The sequence below is a fragment of the Homo sapiens genome, chromosome 10 (genome assembly GCF_000001405.40).
Source record: "Homo sapiens chromosome 10, GRCh38.p14 Primary Assembly".
Classification (NCBI taxonomy): domain Eukaryota; kingdom Metazoa; phylum Chordata; class Mammalia; order Primates; family Hominidae; genus Homo; species Homo sapiens.
Genome location: NC_000010.11, coordinates 119,614,553 through 119,635,764, shown reverse-complemented (window position 1 = coordinate 119,635,764; position 21,212 = coordinate 119,614,553). Strand labels below are relative to the sequence as shown.

General features: G+C 44.2%; 1 pseudogene, besides 2 other annotated features; it reads right to left on the bottom strand.

Moving 5' to 3' along the window:
* Positions 1,341-1,541: a silencer, noted in NCBI's record as "peak1112 fragment used in MPRA reporter construct". NCBI's record gives its function as "represses an SCP1 promoter by STARR-seq MPRAs in K562 erythroleukemia cells {active_cell/tissue: K562}" and the evidence as "EXISTENCE:reporter gene assay evidence [ECO:0000049][PMID:32103011]".
* On the bottom strand, positions 13,778-14,850 carry RAD1P1 (RAD1 pseudogene 1; annotated as a pseudogene).
* Positions 18,574-18,868: an enhancer, noted in NCBI's record as "tiled region #3145; K562 Activating DNase unmatched - State 1:Tss". NCBI's record gives its function as "activates a minimal TATA promoter and a strong SV40 promoter by Sharpr-MPRA in K562 cells {active_cell/tissue: K562}" and the evidence as "EXISTENCE:reporter gene assay evidence [ECO:0000049][PMID:27701403]".

Here is a 21,212-nt window from a genome sequence, read left to right as displayed (position 1 = left end):
ATCTCAGGGTCACAGGTGCTCTATTACCTTTCCCATAGCAGCTGCCACAGTTGCACCTGGACACTTGTTAGTGGCAGTATGTGTTCAATGTCTGTCTCTCTCCTTAGGCCATAAGCTGGTATTTGGAGCACATATACATTCCTCATGCCTACCTAGTTCCATTCTTAACACAAGTTGGTGTTGATTAAATATTATGAAATGAAGGAATTCACTTGGCCCTCCTGCTGAATTATAGTCAATGGCAGAATTAATTCCCTACCCTTTTCCAAAAGGTGTCAAAAAACTGGCAATGATGGTTATGAGAATTGCTTTTTCCTAATGGGGAGTCAAGTTTATTATTTTCTATTTCAAAATACATCCTTGTAAACAATTCAGATAATGCATAAAAATACAAAAAAGAACATCTGTAATCTCATTGCCCAGAGATGAGTTGAGAAATGAAATAACATTAAATTGCCACTGACTGTAAAATGTAGTGTATTGTTATTGCCACATTATCAGATCTTTCCTTGCTCTTGAACTAAGACCCTCATATTTATTGAGTGCTTGTTGTGTGTTAGCCAGTGTGTAGGATCTGAAATACAAAGGTAAATAAGGCAAGCATAGGGTATTCCTGGCTTCTGGAAGTGTCTAGTTAGTTCTCTAGGCCAGGTGGGCATGGTGGCTCATGCCTATAATCCAGGTGCTCTGGAAGGCTGAGGCAGGAGAATTGCTTGAATCCAGGAGTTCAAGACCATCTTGGGCAATATAGTAAGACCTCATCTCTATAAAAAATCTTTTGGGCCGGGCGCAGTGGCTCATGCCCATAATCCCAGCACTTTGGGAGGCCAAGGCGGGTGGATGACCTGAGGTCAGGAGTTCGAGACCAGCCTGATCAATGTGGTGAAACCCCATCTCTACTAAGAAATACAAAAATTAGCCAGGCATGGTGGCGGGCGCCTGTAATCCCAGCTACTTGGGAGGCTGAGGCAGGAGAATCGCTTGAACCTGGGAGGTGGAAGTTGCAGTGAGCCGAGATTGTGCCATTGCACTGCAGCCTGGGCAACAGAGCAAGTCTCCGTCTTAAAAAAAACAAAACAAAAAAAAGGCCGGGCATGGTGGCTCATGCCTGTAATCCCAGCACTTTGGGAGGCCAAGGCAGGTGGATCACGAGGTCAGGAGATCGAGACCATCCTGGCTAACATGGTGAAACCCCGTCTCTACTAAAAATACAAAAAATTAGCCAGCCATGGTGGCACGTGCCTGTAGTCCCAGCCACTCAGGAGGCTGTCTCAAAAAAAAAAAAAAAAGTTAAAAAATTAGCTGAGTGTGTACTGTGGTGGTACATACCAGTAGTCCCAGCTACTCAGGAGCCTGAGGTGGGAGGGTTGCTTGAGCCTGAGAAATGGAGGGTGGAGGTTGCAGTCAGCCAAGATTGCATCACTGCACTCCAGCCTGGGTGACAGAGCAAGTCCCTGTTTCAAAAAAAAAAAAAAAAGGAAAGAAAGTTTTCTAGAATCAAAGCTTTTACAGACTCCAGTGTTTCTGCATCATCTCTTGGCTGCTGGACACAGGTTCTTTTTGCTGTGCTTGAAAACACGTTTTTCTTTTCCCAAGCTGTGGTGAACAAACCCCTCAGAACATTTCCCCAAAGCCATTTCCATTTTATAGAAAATGTGTTGTTACATTTTGAAGGATTCTTTTCATTACTTCCCCTGGGTCCCTCTGGAAACTTGGCTTCAGTTTAATGATTTTCTTGGTTGTTGTTGTTTGTGTCTAAAGATCACATTCTTCTACCAGGGAGCAGCTGTTTACCCTGACAGACCAAACTGGTTTAACTTTATTACTTTTCACTAATGAAAAGAAACATTGTTCTTAGTAAGTAGAAAGAATATTTAACACCATTTTCCTTATTTATGTTTGGTTTGTTTGTTTGTTTGTTTTCTAGAGACAGGATCTTGATCTGTTGTCCATCCTGGAGTTCAGTGGTGCAACCATAGCTCACTATACCTTGACCTCCTGTGCTCAAGTAATCCTCCTGCCTCAGCCTCCTGAGTAGCTTGGACTACAGGCGTGCACCACCACATCCAGTTGATTTTCTTATTTTTCATAGAGGTGAGGTTGCTCAAGCACTATGTTGCTCAAGCTGGTCTCAAACTCCTGGCCTCAAGGAATGCTCCTGTCTCAGCCTCCCAAAGTGTTGGGATTACAGGCATGAGCCACCACATCCGGCCTTATATTTTGATTTTTTAAATGTTAATAATTTTTAAGTACATAAATGATATATAACACATACGCTTGTTTGAAAATGTATTTAAAATTTAGGCCAGGCATGGTGGCTCACGCCTGTAATCCCAGCACTGTGGGAGGCCAATGCAGGTGGATCACCTGAGGTCAGGAGTTCAAGACCAGCCTGGTCAACATGGTGAAACCCCATCTCTACTAAAAATACAAAAAAATTAGCTAGGCATGGTGGCACACACCTGTAATCCCAGCTACTTGGGAAGCTGAGGCAGGAGAATCGCTTGAACCTGGGAGGCAGAGGTTGCAGTTAGCCGAGATCGCACCATTGTGCTCCAGCCTGGGCGACAGCGAGACTTCGTCTCAAAAATAAAAAAATAAAAAATAAAATATTAAACAATTGAATAGAGGAAGCTTATCATCTAACAAGTCTTGGTCTGGCCTTTTTGTTGTTGCTTTCTTTTTATTTTATTTTATTTTATTTTCCATTGTCAATATTCAATATAATGCTGCTTTCTTTAGGGTTTTTTTTTTTTTTTTTTTTTTTTTTTTTTTTTTTTGAGATGGAGTCTCACTGTGTCACCCAGGCTGGAATGCAGTGGTAAGATCTCAGCTCACTGCAACTTCCGCCTCCTGGGTTCAAGTGATTCTCCTGTCTCAGCCTCCCAAGTAGCTGGGAGTACAGTGCCACCAAAACTGGCTAATTTTTGTATTTTGGGTAGAAATGGGGTTTCACCATGTTGGCCAGGCTGGTCTTTAATTCCTGATTTCAAGTGATCCACCTGCCTCGGCCTCCCAAAGTGCTGGGATTACAGGCATAAGCCACCACGCTCGGCCCTTTTTAGGGTTGTTCTTATAGGGTATAGGCATGGAGCTTAATGCACTTGCACCTGGGGAAAACTTGTTACGATTTTCTGAAGTTCCTCTGTTCCAGATTAATTTCATTCAAAATCTGTGGATTACAGCTGGGTGAGGTGGCTCGTGCCTGTAATCCCAGCACTTTGGGAGACTGAGGTGGAAGGATCACCTGAGGTCAGGAGTTTGAGACCAGCCTGGCCAACATGGTGAAACCCCGTCTCTACTAAATATACAAAAAAATTAGCCAGGCGTGGCGGCGTGTGCCTGTAGTCCCAGCTACTTGGGAGGCTGAGGTGGGAGAATAGCTTGAACCCGGGAGGCAGAGGTTGCAGTGAGCCAAGATCGCACTACTGCACTCCAGCCTGGGTGACAAAGCAAGACACCGTCACAAAAACAAAAAACAAAACAAAACAAAAACCTGTGGGTTACTCATCCAGCTATTCTGTACTGTTGATTGGCCACAGGATGCCAAGACCTACTCTTGAACTGGAGCAGGCAATCTTTGCCCTCAAGGGCTCTATACCTGGCGAGGCAGCCTGTGCCCTCAGGGTTAGGACTGGTAGCCCCAAGACTATTTCAGGCCTCAACACTAGGCTGGTAAAGGCACATTTTGAAAACTGGGGAAAGCATTTGCTAGTTAGTGGCAGCTCACTGTATGTGCAAATGGCAGGCAAGTCCAAACACAAAGACCAAGGTGTGCTTGTGCTGGACTCAGTTGCCAACATGATGTGGGAGAGGAGGCCAGTAATATGGTTCTTTCTCTTTTTTTGCCTTTATTGTTAACATAAAGGGCAGAACTAGATTCTGCAGTTAGAACTTTAGAAAATGTATTGCTTTCTCTCTAATTACAAAAGCAATTTATATATACTCTATGAAAGTTGAATGGCTGGATGTGGAGGCTCACACCTGTAACCCCAACACTGTGGGAGGCCAAGGCAGGAGGATTGTTTGAGTCCAGGAGTTTGAGACCAGCCTGGACAACATAGGGGGAGACCCTGTACTTACATAAAATTAAAATTTTTAAAAATTAGCCAGCTGGCAGGGCACAGTGGCTCACACCTATAATTCCAACACTTTGGGAGGCCGAGGTGGGCCATCACCTGAGGTCAGGAGTTCGAGACCAGCCTGGCCAATGTAGTGAAACCCCGTCTCTACTAAAAATACAAAAAAATTAGCCAGGCGTGGTGGCGCATGCCTGTAGTCCCAGCTACTCAGAAGGCTGAGGTGGGAGAATCACTTGAACCCGGGAGGCGGAGGTTGCAGTAAACTGAGATTGTACCACTGCACTCCAGCCTGGGCAACAGGGCAAGATTCCATCTCAAAAAAAAAAAAAAAAAAGTCAGCCAGGCATGGTGGCATGCACCTGTAATCCCAGCTACTTGGGAGGCTGAGACAGGAGGATCACTTGAGCCTGGGAATTCGAGGCTGCAGTAAGCCCTGATTGTGCCACTGCACTCCAGCCTTCATAACAGAGCAAGACCCTGTCTCAAATAAATAAATAAAAATTAGAAAATACAGAAGTCACAAACAAATAAAAATCTCACAAATGGGTGGGGACTCTTAAGGAGACACGATTAAGGCTGATATTGGGAAGAACTTGCTAGCAAGTAGGAGTGAGCTCCTGGTCACTGGCCTTATTAACAGAGCAGAAGACTGGATTGTCTCAGCTTCTAAAAGGACTTGGGACTCTGATTTTTGTGATGGGGGTGCCTGTCCTCAGCCTGCTGGGTTCTAAACAGCGTGTCCTTTTGCCCCCACAAACCAAGAAAGGGCCGAGTGAAGCAAGGCTCTGCAGAATGGTGCTTGCAGAGTCGGTTATAGGCCTCAGGCTGGTAATGCCACTATTTGTTCATTGATTCACTCATTCATCCACCCAATCTTTAAGTATTTATGGAGTGCCTACTATGGGCTGGACACCACACCAAACTCTGGGGATGTTCTGTGAACAACACAAACTCTGACACTCAAATTATACAGATAATAATTTTGGTGCAATTGTTAACACTAAGAAGGAATAGAATAAGATGCCTTGAGAAATTAAATATGGAGGGAACCCTCCAAGTTGGGAGGTCAGGAAGGCATCTTGAGGAAGTCACATGTAAGCTGAGGCTTGTTGGATGAGTGGGACTTAGCTTGGCAGGAAGAGTGTGGGAAGAAACGATGGCCACTGCAGGTGTGAAGGTCTGTGCTAAGGAACCTTCAGGGAATGAGACAAGGCCACTGAGGGAGGCGCATGCTGAATAGACCTCTGGCGAGGCCCGGGGAGCCTCTACAGGGATGTGAGAATTTATCCCAAGGGTAATGGGAATCACTTGCAGAATTTTTCTTACTTTTTCTTTTCTTTTTTTTTTTTTTTCCGAGATGGAATCTCACTCTGTCACCCAGGCTGGAGTGCAATGGCACGATCTTGGTTCACTGCAATCTCTGCCTCCCGAGTTCAAGTGATTCTCCGGCCTCAGCCTCCTGAGTAGCTGGGATTACAGGTGCCCACCACCATGCCCAGTTAATATTTTTGTATTTTTAGTAGAGATGGGGTTTCGCCATGTTGGCCAGGCTGGTCTCGAACTCCTGACCTCAGGTGATCCACCCACCTGGGCCTCCCAAAGTGCTGGGATTATAGGCATGAGCCACCGTGCCCGGCCCACTTGCAGAATTTTAAGCAGAGGAGTGGCATGATCAGGTTTGTGTTTTAAAAAATCATTTCGCTGCCATGTGGAGAATGCCTTGCAGGAGGGTAAGATTGGAAGCAGACTCCAGGTTTCCATATAAGTTCAAAGGCCAGAGGGCAAGGCAGAGGGGGAAAAAGAAAAGCCAACATGAACGTTTCAGGGAGAGATGATGTGGCTGGGGCAAGAATGGGTTTGATTGAATATATATTAGTGCCAGGCACTGTGCTCAGCAATTTACCTGCATGATCTCATTCAATCCTCACAAACACCTATGAAATAGGTACTATTGTGGTTGTCATTTTATAGGGACCACTGAGGCTCAGAGATGTTAAGAAACTTACCCAAGATCACACAGCTGGTGAATGGAGAGCCAGGATTTGAACTCCTGGGGTTAACTGCCACCCATAACAGCCCATGCCCCATGGGCTCAATTATCACCTATACTGGAGAGAATCAGATCAACTCAAACTATTCTTCAGAGTAAGAAGCAACAGGCTGGGTGCCATAGCTCATGCTTGTAATCCTAGCACTTTGGAAGGCTGAGTCGGCAGATCGCTTGATCCTAGGAGTTCGAGACCAGCCTAGGTAACATAGCAAGACCCCCATCTCTACAAAAAACACAAACATTAGCCAGGCATGATGGCACGCACCTGTAGTCCCAGCTTCTCAGGATGCTGAGGTGGGAGGATCACTTGAGCCTAGGAGGTTGAGGCTGCAGTGAGTGCTGGATTCCAGCCTGGGTGACAAAGCAAGACCCTGTCTCAAAAAATAAAAAAAAATAAATAAATAAAAGCAACAGAACTTGGTGATAAATGATTAGCTCCACTTAGTAACATCAGGACAGCTATTTCAAAGTGCAAATTTGTTGTAGGTATACCTTAACGAGAGGAAAGTTGCAGATCAGTAAATTTACACTAAAGTAATAATAATAATAGCAAACATTTGTATGGTACTTTCTCTGCGCTGTGTAAAGTTCTTCTAAGAGGTTAATCCTTAGAGGATTCACTTAATCCTCTTAAGAGCCCTGAGAGAGAGGTGTTATTGGTATCATTCCCATTACACAGACAAGGAAACCGAGGTACATAGAGCTCAAGGAACTTACCCAAGGTCACACGGTAGCAAGTCTCACGGGGGTATATAAGCCCAGGCAGGCTGGCTGCAGAGGCTGGCCTCTTAACCACAGGCCATGCAGCTTCCAGGGGTTCCTGCAATGTAATGGTCCCCTTACCTGAGGCCAGACCTCACCAGAGCAACTCATTTCTCTGAGTAAAAGAGGCCAGGAGTGGCTGTGTGTGGTGGCTCACGCCTGGAATCCCAGCACTTTGGGAGGCCGAGTTGGGCAGATCACTTGAGGCCAGGAGCTCGAGACCAGCCTGGCCAATATGGTGAAACTCTGTCTCTACTAAAATATAAAAGTTAGCCTGGCGTGATGGTGTGTGCCTGTAATCCCAGCTATTCAGGTGGCTGGTGCATGAGAATCGCTTGAACCCGGGCAGCAGAGGTTGCAGTGAGCCAAGATTGTGCCACTGCACTCCACCCTGGGAGACAGTGAGACTCTATCTCAAAAAAAAAAAAAAAAAAAAAAGCCCAGGAGCTTGCTTTTTCCTCTGAAGTCACTCTATAAACATGGTCAGTAAGATATAAAATTGGCCTTAGGATTTTTTTTTTTTTTTTTGAGAAGGGTCTCGCTCAGTCACCCAGGCTGGACTGCAGTGATGAGATCACAGCTGACGGGTTCAAGCCATCCTCCCACCTCAGCCTCTCAAGTAGCTGGGACCACAAATGTACACCACCGTGCCGGGCTAATATTTTTATTTTTTTGTAGAGACAAGATTTCACTATGTTTCCCAGTCTGGTCTCAAACTCCTGGGCTCAAGCAATCCTCCTGCCTTGGCTTCCCAAAGTGCTGGGATTACAGCTGTGAGTGCCCATGTCCAGCCCCGCCTGAGGACATTTAAATAATAAGCCTTTCAGACTGGCATACTCAGCCTTCATTCCCTGAGGTAGAAATTCCAAGTCTGCTGTAAGCTGCTCATTGGAATGACCTGAACTGAAAAAAGGGGTTTCTTTTCCAGATGTTATTTTCTGAATTGGCTGGGTAGGTATTTGTAGGAGGATGAGGGGTTATTCGATAAGGAGTCCACAGGGAGTTTTCTCAGGCTTCCAGTGAAATATTTTCATTATGCAGATGTGGCCGGCTTGGTGCTTAATAAAGCTTTGCTTAATTTGGATGGCTGTGGAATTATATTTGGAGGGATTGCTATTCAAGGGAACCAGTGGAGGGGCAGTCGTTAGTTCCTCACAAGCTCGGATGTCTTTTTGTAACAGAGAATACAGCTTTCCAAAAAAATCACAGGCAGCTCCTTGTGAACTGGACTCTGAAGAGGGGAGGACGCTCAGGTGCCTCCTTGGACCCGGCTTCCCTTCTGAGTTGCTATCACCCCTGGAGCCACCCACGGTGGTCGTTCCTGTTTCAGATACTTAGAGGTCTTCCCACTGCTCTCGGGTAGAGCCCAAGCTCTTTGCTGGTCCCACCAAGTTCATCACAGCATCACCCTACTGGCCCTGCCAGCTTTCCTCCCAGCTGCCCTGCTCCCCAGTCCCACCTACAGCGTCTCACCTTCCGCCAAAATACCCTGTGCAGGTTCCTTCCTGCCAGAAATGCCATTCTCCCTTCTCTTCATCTGGTAAACTCCAGCTCATCCTTCAAGGCCCTGGCAGCAGTTTCTTGGGGAGACTTCTCCATGGGCCCCAGGTAGAGGGAATCAACACTCATAGTGCCATGAGAGATCTAGTACAGCCTTATCATGCACAAATTATTTGGTTATGGCCTCGCTAAACAGAGAGGCCAGGGATCAATTTATGGGTCTTCAGTTTTCTTTCTTTTTCTTTTTTTTTTTTTGAGACAGAGACTTGATCTGTCACCCAGGCTGGAGTGCAGTGGCATGATCTCAGCTCACTGTAGTCTTTGCCTCTTGGGTTCAAGCAATTCTCCTGCCTCAGCCTCCCAAGTAGCTGGGATTACAGGCACACACCACCATGCCTGGGTAATTTTTGTATTTTAGTAGAGAGAGAGTTTCACCAAGTTGGCCAGGCTGACCTCGAACTCCCGACCTCAGGTGATCCACCTGCCTTGGCCTCCCAAAGTGCTAGGATTACAGGTGTGAGTCACTGCGCCCTGCCCATTTTTCTTTCTTTGCCCCATCTGTGGCCCCTCCATCCAGCACGATGCCTGGTGAGCAGTAGCCATATGGGGCAGGCCACACTTCCCAAGCTGCATCCCACCTATTATTTCATCTTAGCAAGACTGTCCTGACCACAGCCCTGGGGTAAGATGCCCATGTTTTGGACCATGTGAACCTTGCCTCCCCTATGCCTGGTCTTAGAGTGGATCCTTGGAACCAACCCATAGGCTGGCATGTGACCTGTGATGACCTGAGAAAAAAGATGAACCATCAGGCTCTGCTTTTAGGCATGTGAACTAAGAAACATGGGAAGAACTGGCAGGAGAAGAGAGAAGGGGTGTGGCTGAGTCACATGAAGAGGAAGGAACAGGAGGAGTGAAGACAGGGGGATGGCCGCCACTGAAGTGCCTTGAGCTGCCCTGGCTCCTGGGATGCCCTCCAGCTCTTGTCTCTGGGAAGCCTGGCTGGGCTGTAGCTACCATTCTTGATTTCTGAGATCAGTTCCCTTTTGTGGTAGCCAGCCTCCAAGATGGCTCCATGACCATCGCCTTCTGGTATTGTATCTTCCCACACTGAATAAGGTAGACCAATAAGATATTCCAGACGAGATGGTTGTGACTTCGAAGACAAATCATAAAAGACACTGCAGATTCTGCTGTGGTCTCTTGAATCACTGCCTCTGAGGAAGGCCAGTCACCATGTTGTGAAGACACTCAAGCAGCCTTGTGGACAGGCCACACCCGGGAGGAGCTGAGGCCTTCACCGAGAATCAGCACCAACTCACTATGCATGTGCGTGAACCACCATGGAAATGGATCCTCCTGCCCCAGTCAACCTAAAACCACTCACTGCTCCCAAATTCCTGACCCACAGAAACTCTGTGAGATGATAAGTGTTTGCTGTTGTTTTCTGCGGCTAAGTTTTGGAGTAAAGCATTAGGCAGCAGTAGATTACTAATATACTTTTTTGTTTCTTTACAACAAAAAGTCTTTGTATTCACTTGTGTATAAGCACTTGCTAGTTGCTTACTGCTGACATGTGTGGTTGGTGGCCCAACTACACACTAGGGGCAGTTTATGCCCTGCAATTAGCAGCTGCTCCACTAGAAGCATAGAAGAAGAAATCCCTCTCTCTCTCTCCCTCTCTCTCTCTCTCTCTATAATATACATATATATAATATATAATATATTTATATTTATATATAATATATAATATATTTATATATATAATATATAATATATTTATATTTATATATAATATATAATATATTTATATATATAATATATAATATATTTATATTTATATATATAATATATAATATATTTATATTTATATATGTAATATATAATATATTTATATTTATATATGTAATATATAATATATTTATATTTATATATGTAATATATAATATATTTATATTTATATATATAATATATAATATATTTATATTTATATATAATATATAATATATTTATATTTATATATATAATATATAATATATTTATATTTATATATATAATATATAATATATTTATATTTATATATATATAATATATAATATATTTATATTTATATATATAATATATAATATATTTATATTATATATATATAATATATTTATATTTATATATATAATATATAATATATTTATATTTATATATATAATATATATATTTATATTTATATATATAATATATAGATTTCTTCTATGTATTATATATGTATATTATATAAACCAATAACACATTACCTATGTTTGCTGTGTTACCATTTTTTATTTTTATTTTATTTTATTTTATTGAGATGGGTCTCATTCTGTCACCCAGGCTGGAGTGCAGTGGTACAGTCTTGGCTCACTGCAACCTCCGCCTCCCGGGTTCAAGCGATTCTCCTGCCTCAGCCTCCGAAGTAGCTGGGATTACAGGCATTTGCTACCACGCACAGCTAGTTTTTTTATATTTTTAGTAGAGATGGGTTTTCACCATGTTGGCAGGTCTCGTCTCAAACTCCTGACCTCACGTGATCCACCTGTCTTGGCCTCCCAAAGTGCTGGGATTACAGGTGTAAGCCACCGTGCCTGGCCCTATGTTACCATTTTTTTTTTGTTTTTTTTTTTTTTGAGATGAAGTCTCACTCTGTCACCCAGGCTGGAGTGCAGTGGCACGATCTTGGCTCACTGCAACCTCCACCTCCCAGGTTCAAGCAGTTCTCTGCCTCAGCCTCCCAAGTAGCTGTGATTACAGGCACCTGCCACCACACCCAGCTAATTTTTATATTTTTAGTAGAGACAGGGTTTCACCATCTTGGCCAGGCTGGTCTTGAACTCCTGACCTTGTGATCTACCTGCCTCAGCCTCCCAAAGTGCTGGGATTACAGGCATGAACCACAGCGCCTGGCCCTATGTTACTATTTTTGAAGAGGTTTTCATACACATCTCATTTGACCCTCTTAGCAACTGACATAGATATATTATTCTAGATTTCAGATATACTTACAGCTACAGATTAACTTTATCTTGAGAACTTTTGCATTAATGCCCAGATAAAGCACATTTTGCAGTTTTTTTCACTTAAATATAGGATCAATATGTTCATTTATTCGACAAATATTTACTGAGTTCCTACCGTGTATAAGAAGTGTGAAGACATAGAAAGGAAGCAAACATTAATCTTGCTTTCAGGGAATTTATAATCTAGTAGTAGGAGCATTAAAACGTACATAAATATCACCTCTGTTGTGAGGCTATAGAAAAAAAACAAGATATACAGAAATAACTAAAACTATGCAGAAACTTCTAAAGCCCTAACACCCGGGACTGGGCAGTGGCCTTGTCCTGGGTGTTGTACTAAAAGCTTTGGTTTTTTTTTTTTTTTTGGAGATGGAGTTTCACTCTTGTCGCCCAGGCTGGAGTCCAGTGGTGCAATCTCGGCTCACTGCAACCTCCGTCTCCTGGGATCAAGTGATTCTCCTGCCTCCAAGTGATTCTCCTGCCTCAGCCTCCTGAGTAGCTGGGATTACAGGTATCCGCCATCACGCCTGGCTAATTTTTTATATCTTTTTAGTAGAGATGGGTTTTCACTATGTTGGCCAGGCTGGTCTTGAACTCCTGACCTCATGATCCACCCACCTCGGCCTCCCAAAGTGCTGGGATTACAGGCGTGAGCCACCGCGCCCAGCCCGTAATCCCCATTTTACAGACAAAGAAATGGCGGCTGGGAGATATTCATTAAGCCATTCCCATGCTTTTAACTGTATTACTCTATTATCTGCAAAACAGATAGTAAAGAAAGGCAGACCAAGATTGGTGTCCATGTATTTTCTGTTTTTTAGTATTGTACTTTATTAAATATAAAAATATTTATATGCCACAAAAATTATTTTAGTGACGACTACCAGAAAAGTACAAAATCACTTAATAACTGGTTTTCTACAGCTTGATTTGCCAAGAAACTTATAAGCAAATGGAAGGTGTCTAATAAGTACTTACTGCAGTTACTTACTGGAATGAACAGTTGTGAGAACAAGAAGAAAACCTGTAACTCTGAAAATTGTTTTGTTTTTTTGTTTTTTTTGAGACAGAGTCTCTCTTGCTCAGGCTGGAATGCAGTGGCACGATCTTGGCTCACTGCAACCTCCACCTCCCAGGTTCAAGCAATTCTCCTGCCTCAGCCTCCTGAGTAGCTGGGACTACTGGCATGCACTGCCACACCCGGCCAATTTTTGTATTTTTAGTAGAGATGAGGTTTCACTGTGTTGGCCAGGCTGGTCTTGAACTCCTGACCTCAGGCAATCTGCCTGCCTCAGCCTCCCAAGGTGCTGGGATTACAGGCATGAGCCACTGCACCTGGCCTGAAAATTATTTTATATCCCATTCATAGATCTCCTCAGAAGGTCTACTTTAAAAATAAATCACATAAAGAATTGTTCAGACTTGTTTGGTGATGCCTCAACTTCAGAACATTTGCAAAGAAATCACATGTAAAAGCAATCATCTCAATACAATTAAATGCTAGTTTTAAAAAAAGTTTCCTTTAAAACAGTGGTTCCCAAAATTTAGCATGCGTCAGAATCTCCTGGGGGAAGCATGTTAAAATATAGAATGCTGGCCTCCTCCCCAGAGTTTGCTACAAGTTTGCAGGTGGTTCTGATGCTGGTGTGGGCACAACACTTTGAGAAGCACTGCTTTAAGATCTAGTCTCTAGAATTCAAACTAATAAGCAATGAGCATATACCTTTGCCTTTTCTAATAGTAAATAAATAAAAGAACATTTCAGGTAGCTGAATAAGTCTTTAGACTCTTGAAATGTTCTACTGAAATAGAACGTATAATTTATTAATCTTGGTTCATAATCATTCCCATGAGTTCAAAAGACAGAACTACAGGACAGTCCTGAATAATTTATGACTACATGAAAACATTTATTTACATGCCCTTTACAAAATGTATTTACAAAACACATAGCAACTATTAGGGTACACAGACCTTGTTTCTATCTTCCCCATGCTTCTTCTCTATAGGAAATACAATATGAAATTATAAAGAGTACTGAACTCAAGGCTGGGCGTGGTGGCTCACGCCTGTAATCCCAGCACTTTGGGAGGCCAAGGCGGGTGGATCACCTGAGGTCAGGAGTTCAAGACCAGCCTGGCCAACATGGTGAAACCTCATCTCTACTAAAATATAAAAATTAGCCAGGCGTGGTAGCGGGCACCTGTAATCCCAGCTACTTGGGAGGCTGAGGCAGGAGAATCGCTTGAACCTGGGAGGCGGAGGTTGCAGTGAGCTGAGATGGCGCCACTGCACTCCAGCCTCAGCGACAGAGTGAGACTCCATCTCAAAAAAGAAAAAAAAAAAAAGTACCGTACTCAGAATGAGAACTTCATCTATCATCAATGTACACATAAATATCAGTGAATCGTCATACTCAAGACTCAGATTAAAGAACTTCTTCATCAGGGCAGCAGTAATATTCCACAAAATATATTGGTCCATCTTCATTTCTAATCATATACTGTAATGAAAGGAAGCCTCGGTTATCTGTCCGAGTAGATACGTGACAAGACAGGACTAATGCCTTTGTAGAGGGTTTCAGTAAGGAAATCTTGCATCTGTTGACCTGGGTCTGATTATAATGCTTCCATCAAATCAGAATCTTTGGGGCGGTCAAGGTGGGAACTTCCTACATTTCCAAAAGTAGATAACCTGAAATAAGGCTTGTCAGGAGACATGGTAATTTGTAGGACCTCACTCGTCATATCCAATTCAGAAAAAGCTTCACAGAGCCCTTCTGACTGCAGAATTTTATCAATAACATTAGTGCTGTAGAAATTAAAGTCCAGGTCCCTTCAGGTTCCTGTGTATTGATTTTGCAGACTGCCACCACTCCTTCTTCTTCCAGGAACAGCATCAAAGGGTAACCATAACCTTGGTAACACATCCGAAGTGCAGTTCAAGTCCCTGGCATAGGACTTGATCCAAAAATAGATAAACAGTCTAAAAGGACAATGAAATTAATTCAAAAAGTAACAGACTCTTCCTGAACTTTAAGCTCTTGAAATATTCCAGCCTGAATAAAAGCATTTGCTTGCACACACTTTGCATTTTCCATTGTTACTTTGATTCCATTTTTAGTTGCGAAACACACAGCACATTTTCGGAAATGAATAGCTTTTAAGATAGTGGAGAGATTCCTAACATTGTCAAGGCTGGCCACAAGACTGTATTGATCATGCTCGTCTTGGATCTGTTGGGTCAGGAGGGGCATCGCCCACTGCACATTCGGCCCCAAGGGATGCTCCTGGGGCCTGTTCCTGCAGATCGCGAAACACCTTTGCAGGGGGATCTGGATGCTGGAGAGCCTCTCCCAGCAAATTCCCTGAGGCGGAGCAAGGCAGCTCCAGGAAACTGCAGAGGAAGTGAAGCAGCCCCTGCCACTCTTCAGATCAGCCTTCCACTTCCTTTCCAAGCATTTTCTTGTAAAGGTAATGAAGAGTTAGTTCATCCAAAGATGATGATCAAATTAGTGGAGGGCCTCTTGAAAACAATCTGTTCTATACTGAAGTCAACTGGGTTCTAGCCACAAGTTGCTTTTACTACTCTTCCCCTTAGATAGTTGGTGGTTTTTGCCAGAGAAGCCCCACTGTTCTCTGTTGGTGCAGCCATTTTTGCACGACTCATCAGGCAGTTTATAGCACAATTTAGAAACACCAGGGATAGCAGAATTACGAATCATGCTGTCTGCTGATGTAAACTCTATTTGGATACAATAATGTTTTTAAATAACCTCAAATACAATTACACCCTGAGGATGGGGCTGGTTGAATGACTACAGGAATATCATTCAGATAGTTCATTAACTAATTACAGAGCACCACAAACAGAGCCTACTGCCAGGGAGGGGCTGTGGGGATGAATCACAGGGCTGAGCTCAGGGGCCAGAGTGATGTTCAGTTCTTTTCTGGTGCTGGCATCACAAGGTGGCACTCTTGACTGAAAGAGGGAGGCTCTTTCCTCCTCTCCTGTCTCTCTAGCACCCGTGGGAAGGTGCTACGCGAGGCCCAGAAATACATGCCAGGGTCATATGGCTTCAAAAAGCTCTCTTCCCTCCCCTCGTCACTCACTGCACTTGTAACTGAAGACAAAGTCTCAGGCAGGGTGCGGTAGCTCCCGCCTGTAATCCCAGCACTTTGGGAAGCCAAGGCGGGTGGATCACCTGAGGTCAGGAGTTCAAGACCAGCCTGGCCAACATGGTGAAACCTCATCTCTACTAAAATACAAAAATTAGCCGGGCATGGTGGTGGGCACCTGTAATCCCAGCTACTCTGGAGGCTGAGGCAGGAGAATTGCTTGAACCCGGGAGGTGGAGGTTGCAGTAAGCCAAGATTGCGCCACTGCACTGCAGCCTGGGTAACAGAGCGAGACTCCATCTCACAAAAAAAAAAACAAAAAGTCTCAGAGAGCTCTGGGCAGGCAGGTTACTGGTCGCCTATTTAGTTACTGAAGCTGTTGTGTTTTGCTTTCTTGAGGAGTTTGAGCACTGCATGGAAGAAAGGTTTATTAGGGACAAATGGGCCCCACTGCCCTGCTGCCTGGGAGCACTTGCCAGAGGATCTTGGGTCTTCACTACACAGGACAGGAGTGACCACCCGCCAGCTGGGCTGGTTGTAGTGCCGGCACGTGGTAGGGTTAAAAAATCGTTTAAAGTTATAAAAGTGTTTGCAAAGCATATGGGAGCCCTGCTACTTTGGGCAAGCCTCTCTTTGAATCTTGGTTTCTTCAACTGTAAATGGGATTAGTAGTAGTGGTATCCACCTCAAAGAGTTATTGGATCAAACGATATAAAAAATGTGAAGTGCTTAGTACAATGCTTGGCAAAGAAGCCAGGGCTCAGTAAATGTGCAGGCCCTTCCTCTCATTGTCATTTGGCTTCATGCACGCTTACATATGGCCTTCAGAAGAGAACAGATTCAGATCTCTGTTCCTTAGCCCCAAGCATGCACCTGTCAGCATTCAGGCCCATGGTTATTTGGCCAGCCTTGTAATGATACTAAAGACTGACTATTCAGAATGTTTCTTCTGAACTTTCAAAATCAATGACAGTTGCACACTATCTCCTTTCAGGCAAAGGTCCCTCCAGCAGACCCTCTCCCCACCTTGTTTTGAAAAAAGCATTATTTAAGGGAAATATAACTGAGCCTGGCTGGCTGTACTACCTTATTTTTCTATTTCCCTCCAAAGTGAATGCCAGACATTTCTAGGCCAAAGACAGGATTAACATTTCTCAGCCTAGTAAACACACCCATCTGGATTCAACCCGGGGAGCACCAGCACTGCAACCGTTTCCTGTAATCGGCTTGAACGATCCAGGCTGTAAGCTTGAAAATGAAATTCTGGAAACGATATTTCCATCCTGGAAGCTGTTTCAATTACAGCTTCTTGCAGATGAACCTCAGATAAGCGGCAAACTTACAAGCCCTGGCACGGATGTAATGAGTCTGCACGATGGGAACCTGGCCATGCTACAAGGAAGAGGCTGCCTGTAGGCTGAGAATATAATCGCTGGACAGAGCCACAAACCTGTGCTGAGCACCTGCAGCGCGGCAGACATCCGGTGAGACTCTGAGAACCACAGGGAGCTGAACGTGGGCCCCATCCTCAGAGACTTTTGGTTCAGTGGAGGAGATGTATTACCAGGCCATTTTATGTAATAGGCTGAGATGGTGCTCAACCCTGGTGCTGTGAAAACATTAGCCCAGCTTGGGATTGAGGAAGTGATCCCCGAGCTGAATCTCCATAATTAAGCAACAGTCAGCTGTGTGAAGTAAGGTGGAAAGGATATTCGAAGCAAGGGTAAGAGCAAGCAGAGACCCAAAGATATGGAACAGGAGTGTGTGTGTGTGTGTGTGTGTGTGTGTGTGTGTGTGTATGTTTGTCCGTGCATGTGTATCTGAGTCTAGCCAGCCCAGTATTCAAGTACAGGAAAGGGAGTGCCCTGGGAGTAACTGGGTGTACGTTTGCCCTTCACCATCATTTTTAGCATCAGAAAGTCCTTCAGAAACTGCCCCAAAATCTTGGGTTCAAGACACCAGACTTCTAGGGTGTGGGATTCAGGCCCAGTGAGTCTCCCCGAGGTTTGCAGAGGCCAAGCCTTTACATTTCTAATCTTTAGTTTACAGTGGGGCCTCGGTATTACTAATAGAATTAGGGTTCAGTAGGTGTCCAAACAGCCAGTTCATGGAAGCTGAGGAACCTGAGCCCAGAGGGAAACTTCAGGACACACAGCAATCAATCCTGGAACGTCTCTGAGTTTCAGGGCAGTTTTGGAGGTCATTAGGGAGGTAGCAGCGGGCTGATTTGATAACAGGTGCCACCTTGCTGACTCTTCTTCCAGTGTGAAAATGACTTGGGAGCACAACAGAGGCTCCTTTTGAAGGCTGGTCCATGAAGCAGATGCCTCTATTTGTTCTTTTTTCTTTTTCAGAGACAGGTTCTTGCTCTGTCACCCAGGCTGGAGTGCAGTGGTGTGATCGCAGCTCAGTGAAGCCTTGAACTCCACAGCTCACACGATCTTTCTGCCTCAGCCTCCTGAGTAGCTGGGACTACAGACATGCACCACCACACTCAGCTGATTTCTTATTTAAGAAAAATTTTTTAGAGACAAGTCTTGCTCTCTTGCCCAGGCTGCTCTTGAACTCTCACCCTCAAGCGATTCTCCCACCTCAGCTTCCTGAGTAGCTGGGATTACAAATGCAAGCCACCACGCCCAACGTTGTTCATTTTTTATATGTTTCACAGTGTATTAGTCCGTTTTTATGCTACTGATAAAAACATACCCAAGACTGGGAAGATAAAGAGGTTTAATTTGACTTACGGTTTCACATGGCTGGGTAGGTCTCATAATCATGGCGGAGGGCAAAGGGCACTTCTTACATGGCAGCAGCAAGAGAAAATGAGGAAGAAGCAAACGAGGAAACCCCTGATCAAACCATCAGATCTCGTGAGACTTATTCACTATCATGAGAACAGCACGGAAAAGACAAGCCCCCATGATTCAATTACCTCCCCCAGGTCTCTCCCACAACACATGGGAATTCCAGGAGATACAGTTGAAGTTGAGATTTGAATGGGGACACAGCCAAGCCATATCACACAGTTTGGGTGAAGGATACTTAATAAGGGAGGGCGCAACATACAAAAACTGCAACATCTGGCTGCCATCAGCTCCTCCACCAGCGCCCCCGCGTGGGAATTAGTGGAGCGCCAGACAGTCCTAAGGTCAAGTCAGTCCTAAACTTGCAGTTGTTTGTGAGACTTACATCACTTAATTTCACAAACCTCACTGTTCAAATGGGGACAATCAGGCTTATGAGTAGTTGTGGGTGTCAAATGAATGTTCGTATGAGGTCTGGCATCACAATGAGTATTTTAATGGATCTTATCCAGATGCCTCCAGATGCTATTGGATAAAAGGTTGCAGCTAACAACTGACCTTGAATTTTTCTGGCTACTTGGGGGGCAGTGCTGCCCTTCAGTTTGGAGACTCCCCTTAGTGTCACCACGGTAGGCAGTGGGGTCAGCCCATCCATAATTACACTCAGAAAACCAGAGGCAGCAGTACCTGAGGGCCTCCAACTTGACCTTTCCTCCTCCTGCTTCTACTGAGCTCTGCCTATGAGCCTAGAGGCTTCTCAACCACCTCTCCACACCAGACTGTGAGAAAAAGGGCGCCTGCCTAGAAGTGACACAACTTGAGTTTCTTCTTCTTCTTTTTTTTTTTTTATAAGACAGGATCTTGCTCTGTTGCCCAGGCTAGAATGCCACGGCATGATCACAGCTTGCCACAGCTTCCATCTCCCGGGCTCAAGTGATCCTCCCATCTCATTCACCTCAGTAGCTAAGACAACAGGTATGTACCACCACACCCAACTAATTTTTAATTTTTTTGTAAAAACAGAGTCTCACCATGTTGCCCAGGCTTGTCTCAAACTCCTGAGCTCAAGTAAAGTTCCTGCTTCAGCCTCCCAAAGTGCTGGGGTTACAGGCGTGAGCCACTGGCCCACTGCACCTAGCACAACCTGGGTTTTCATTCACTGCCACAACAGAACTTGGCACTGAACAGTTCTATTGCCACTCTCAGTTTCAAAATCCCAGAAGAGGGGAAGATTTTAAAATATTTAATAGTATTATTTTTATTTTAAAAGTAATGCAGATACATTTAAAAAAGAAAAACCCACAACGAATAGTATAGAATGCTGAAGTTGAGCACTTGACTTCTCCTGGCCTCAGTTTCCTAATCTATAAATGGAAGATAATAGTAATACCTTCCTCTTAGGGTTATTATGTAGATTAAATGAAGGATAGGAAAGGCACTTGGTGCAATGCCTGGCAGAGAACAAGCATGTGATATATGTTAGCGATTACCATGATAGCCATTGTACATCCAGAGATGACTTAGAGTCTTTTTCCAAAAATAAGCCTTGTTTATAAGAAAACACATTTACACACACTTATACACAGAGAGATGTTATACTTAATGCTCTGCAACTTGCTGTTTTCACTTAACAATAATCTTGAGCATGTTAATGCCTATTAATTCCCCCACACTCTTAAAATGACTGGGCAGTATTTTGTTGAATGGATGTACCGTAATTTATATGACCAAATGGGAACATTTAAAATACATAATTACCGGCCGGGCACAGTGGCTCACCCCTGTAATCCCAGCACTTTGGGAGGCTGAGGCAGGCGAATCACGAGGTCAAGAGATCGAGACCATCCTGGCCAACATGGTGAAACCCCGTCTCTACTAAAAATACAAAAATTAGCTGGGCTTGGTGGCGGACACTTGTAATCGCAGCTACTCGGGAGGCTGAGGCAGGAGAATTGCTGGAACCCGGGAGGCGGAGGCTGCAGTGAGCTGAGATCACGCTACTGCACTCCAGCCTGGGCAATACAGCGAGACTCCATCTCAAAAATAAAATAAAATAAAATAATAAAATAAAATAAATAATTACATATTTGCTCAGAGGTTTTATATTTGAAAATATAGGCAAACAACCATTTGAATAACTCAAACACATTTTCAAAATTTACAAATGTTACAAACTGGACCCACGTTATGTACAAACAGTGCTGCTGAGAGACAGACTGGAACCTCAAATCAAAAGCACCGTGGGCCAAAGTGGACAAGTCTAATGGGGCAGGTTAAAAGCAGTATAAGTTACTATACTTATTCCAGATTCACTTGAAACAGAATGGAACATTAAAGGAGGTGTAATAGTTGTTTGTTCAAGTTCTTTACTACAATATAAAGCGACCAGTGATTTTACCATTATATTCTTCAACTGGCTTCCCAGCACCTCGAATTCAATCAGTGTCCTGCTGTGCAGAGGTATTTTGAAATGTGCCAAGTCTTCATTGGAGTGGAAGTGCATGAAACCAGAGTTAATACCAGGAGCAACAGGGAGTCGAATTTATGGAGGTAAACTGTTGCTAGCTCTGCATTTCCACTCCTTTCGGCTGCTGGGACCAGTTGAAATTCTGACTGTATACTGGATGGTTGGGAGCTGAGGTGCACTGGGTCACAGGTACAGCTCTGGTAACTCTGCCGGGTTTTGAGTTTCCACAAAGAGGTGTGCTACAGGGTCCGGGGCCTAGGCCAGATAGCACCTGGCATGCTTTCCACCAGTTACTGTGATGCCTACTGGATGCACCAGATACTCTGCTGGGACCTAGAGGTACAATGGACAACAGGAGACTGGTGGAGCTTAGATTTTAGTT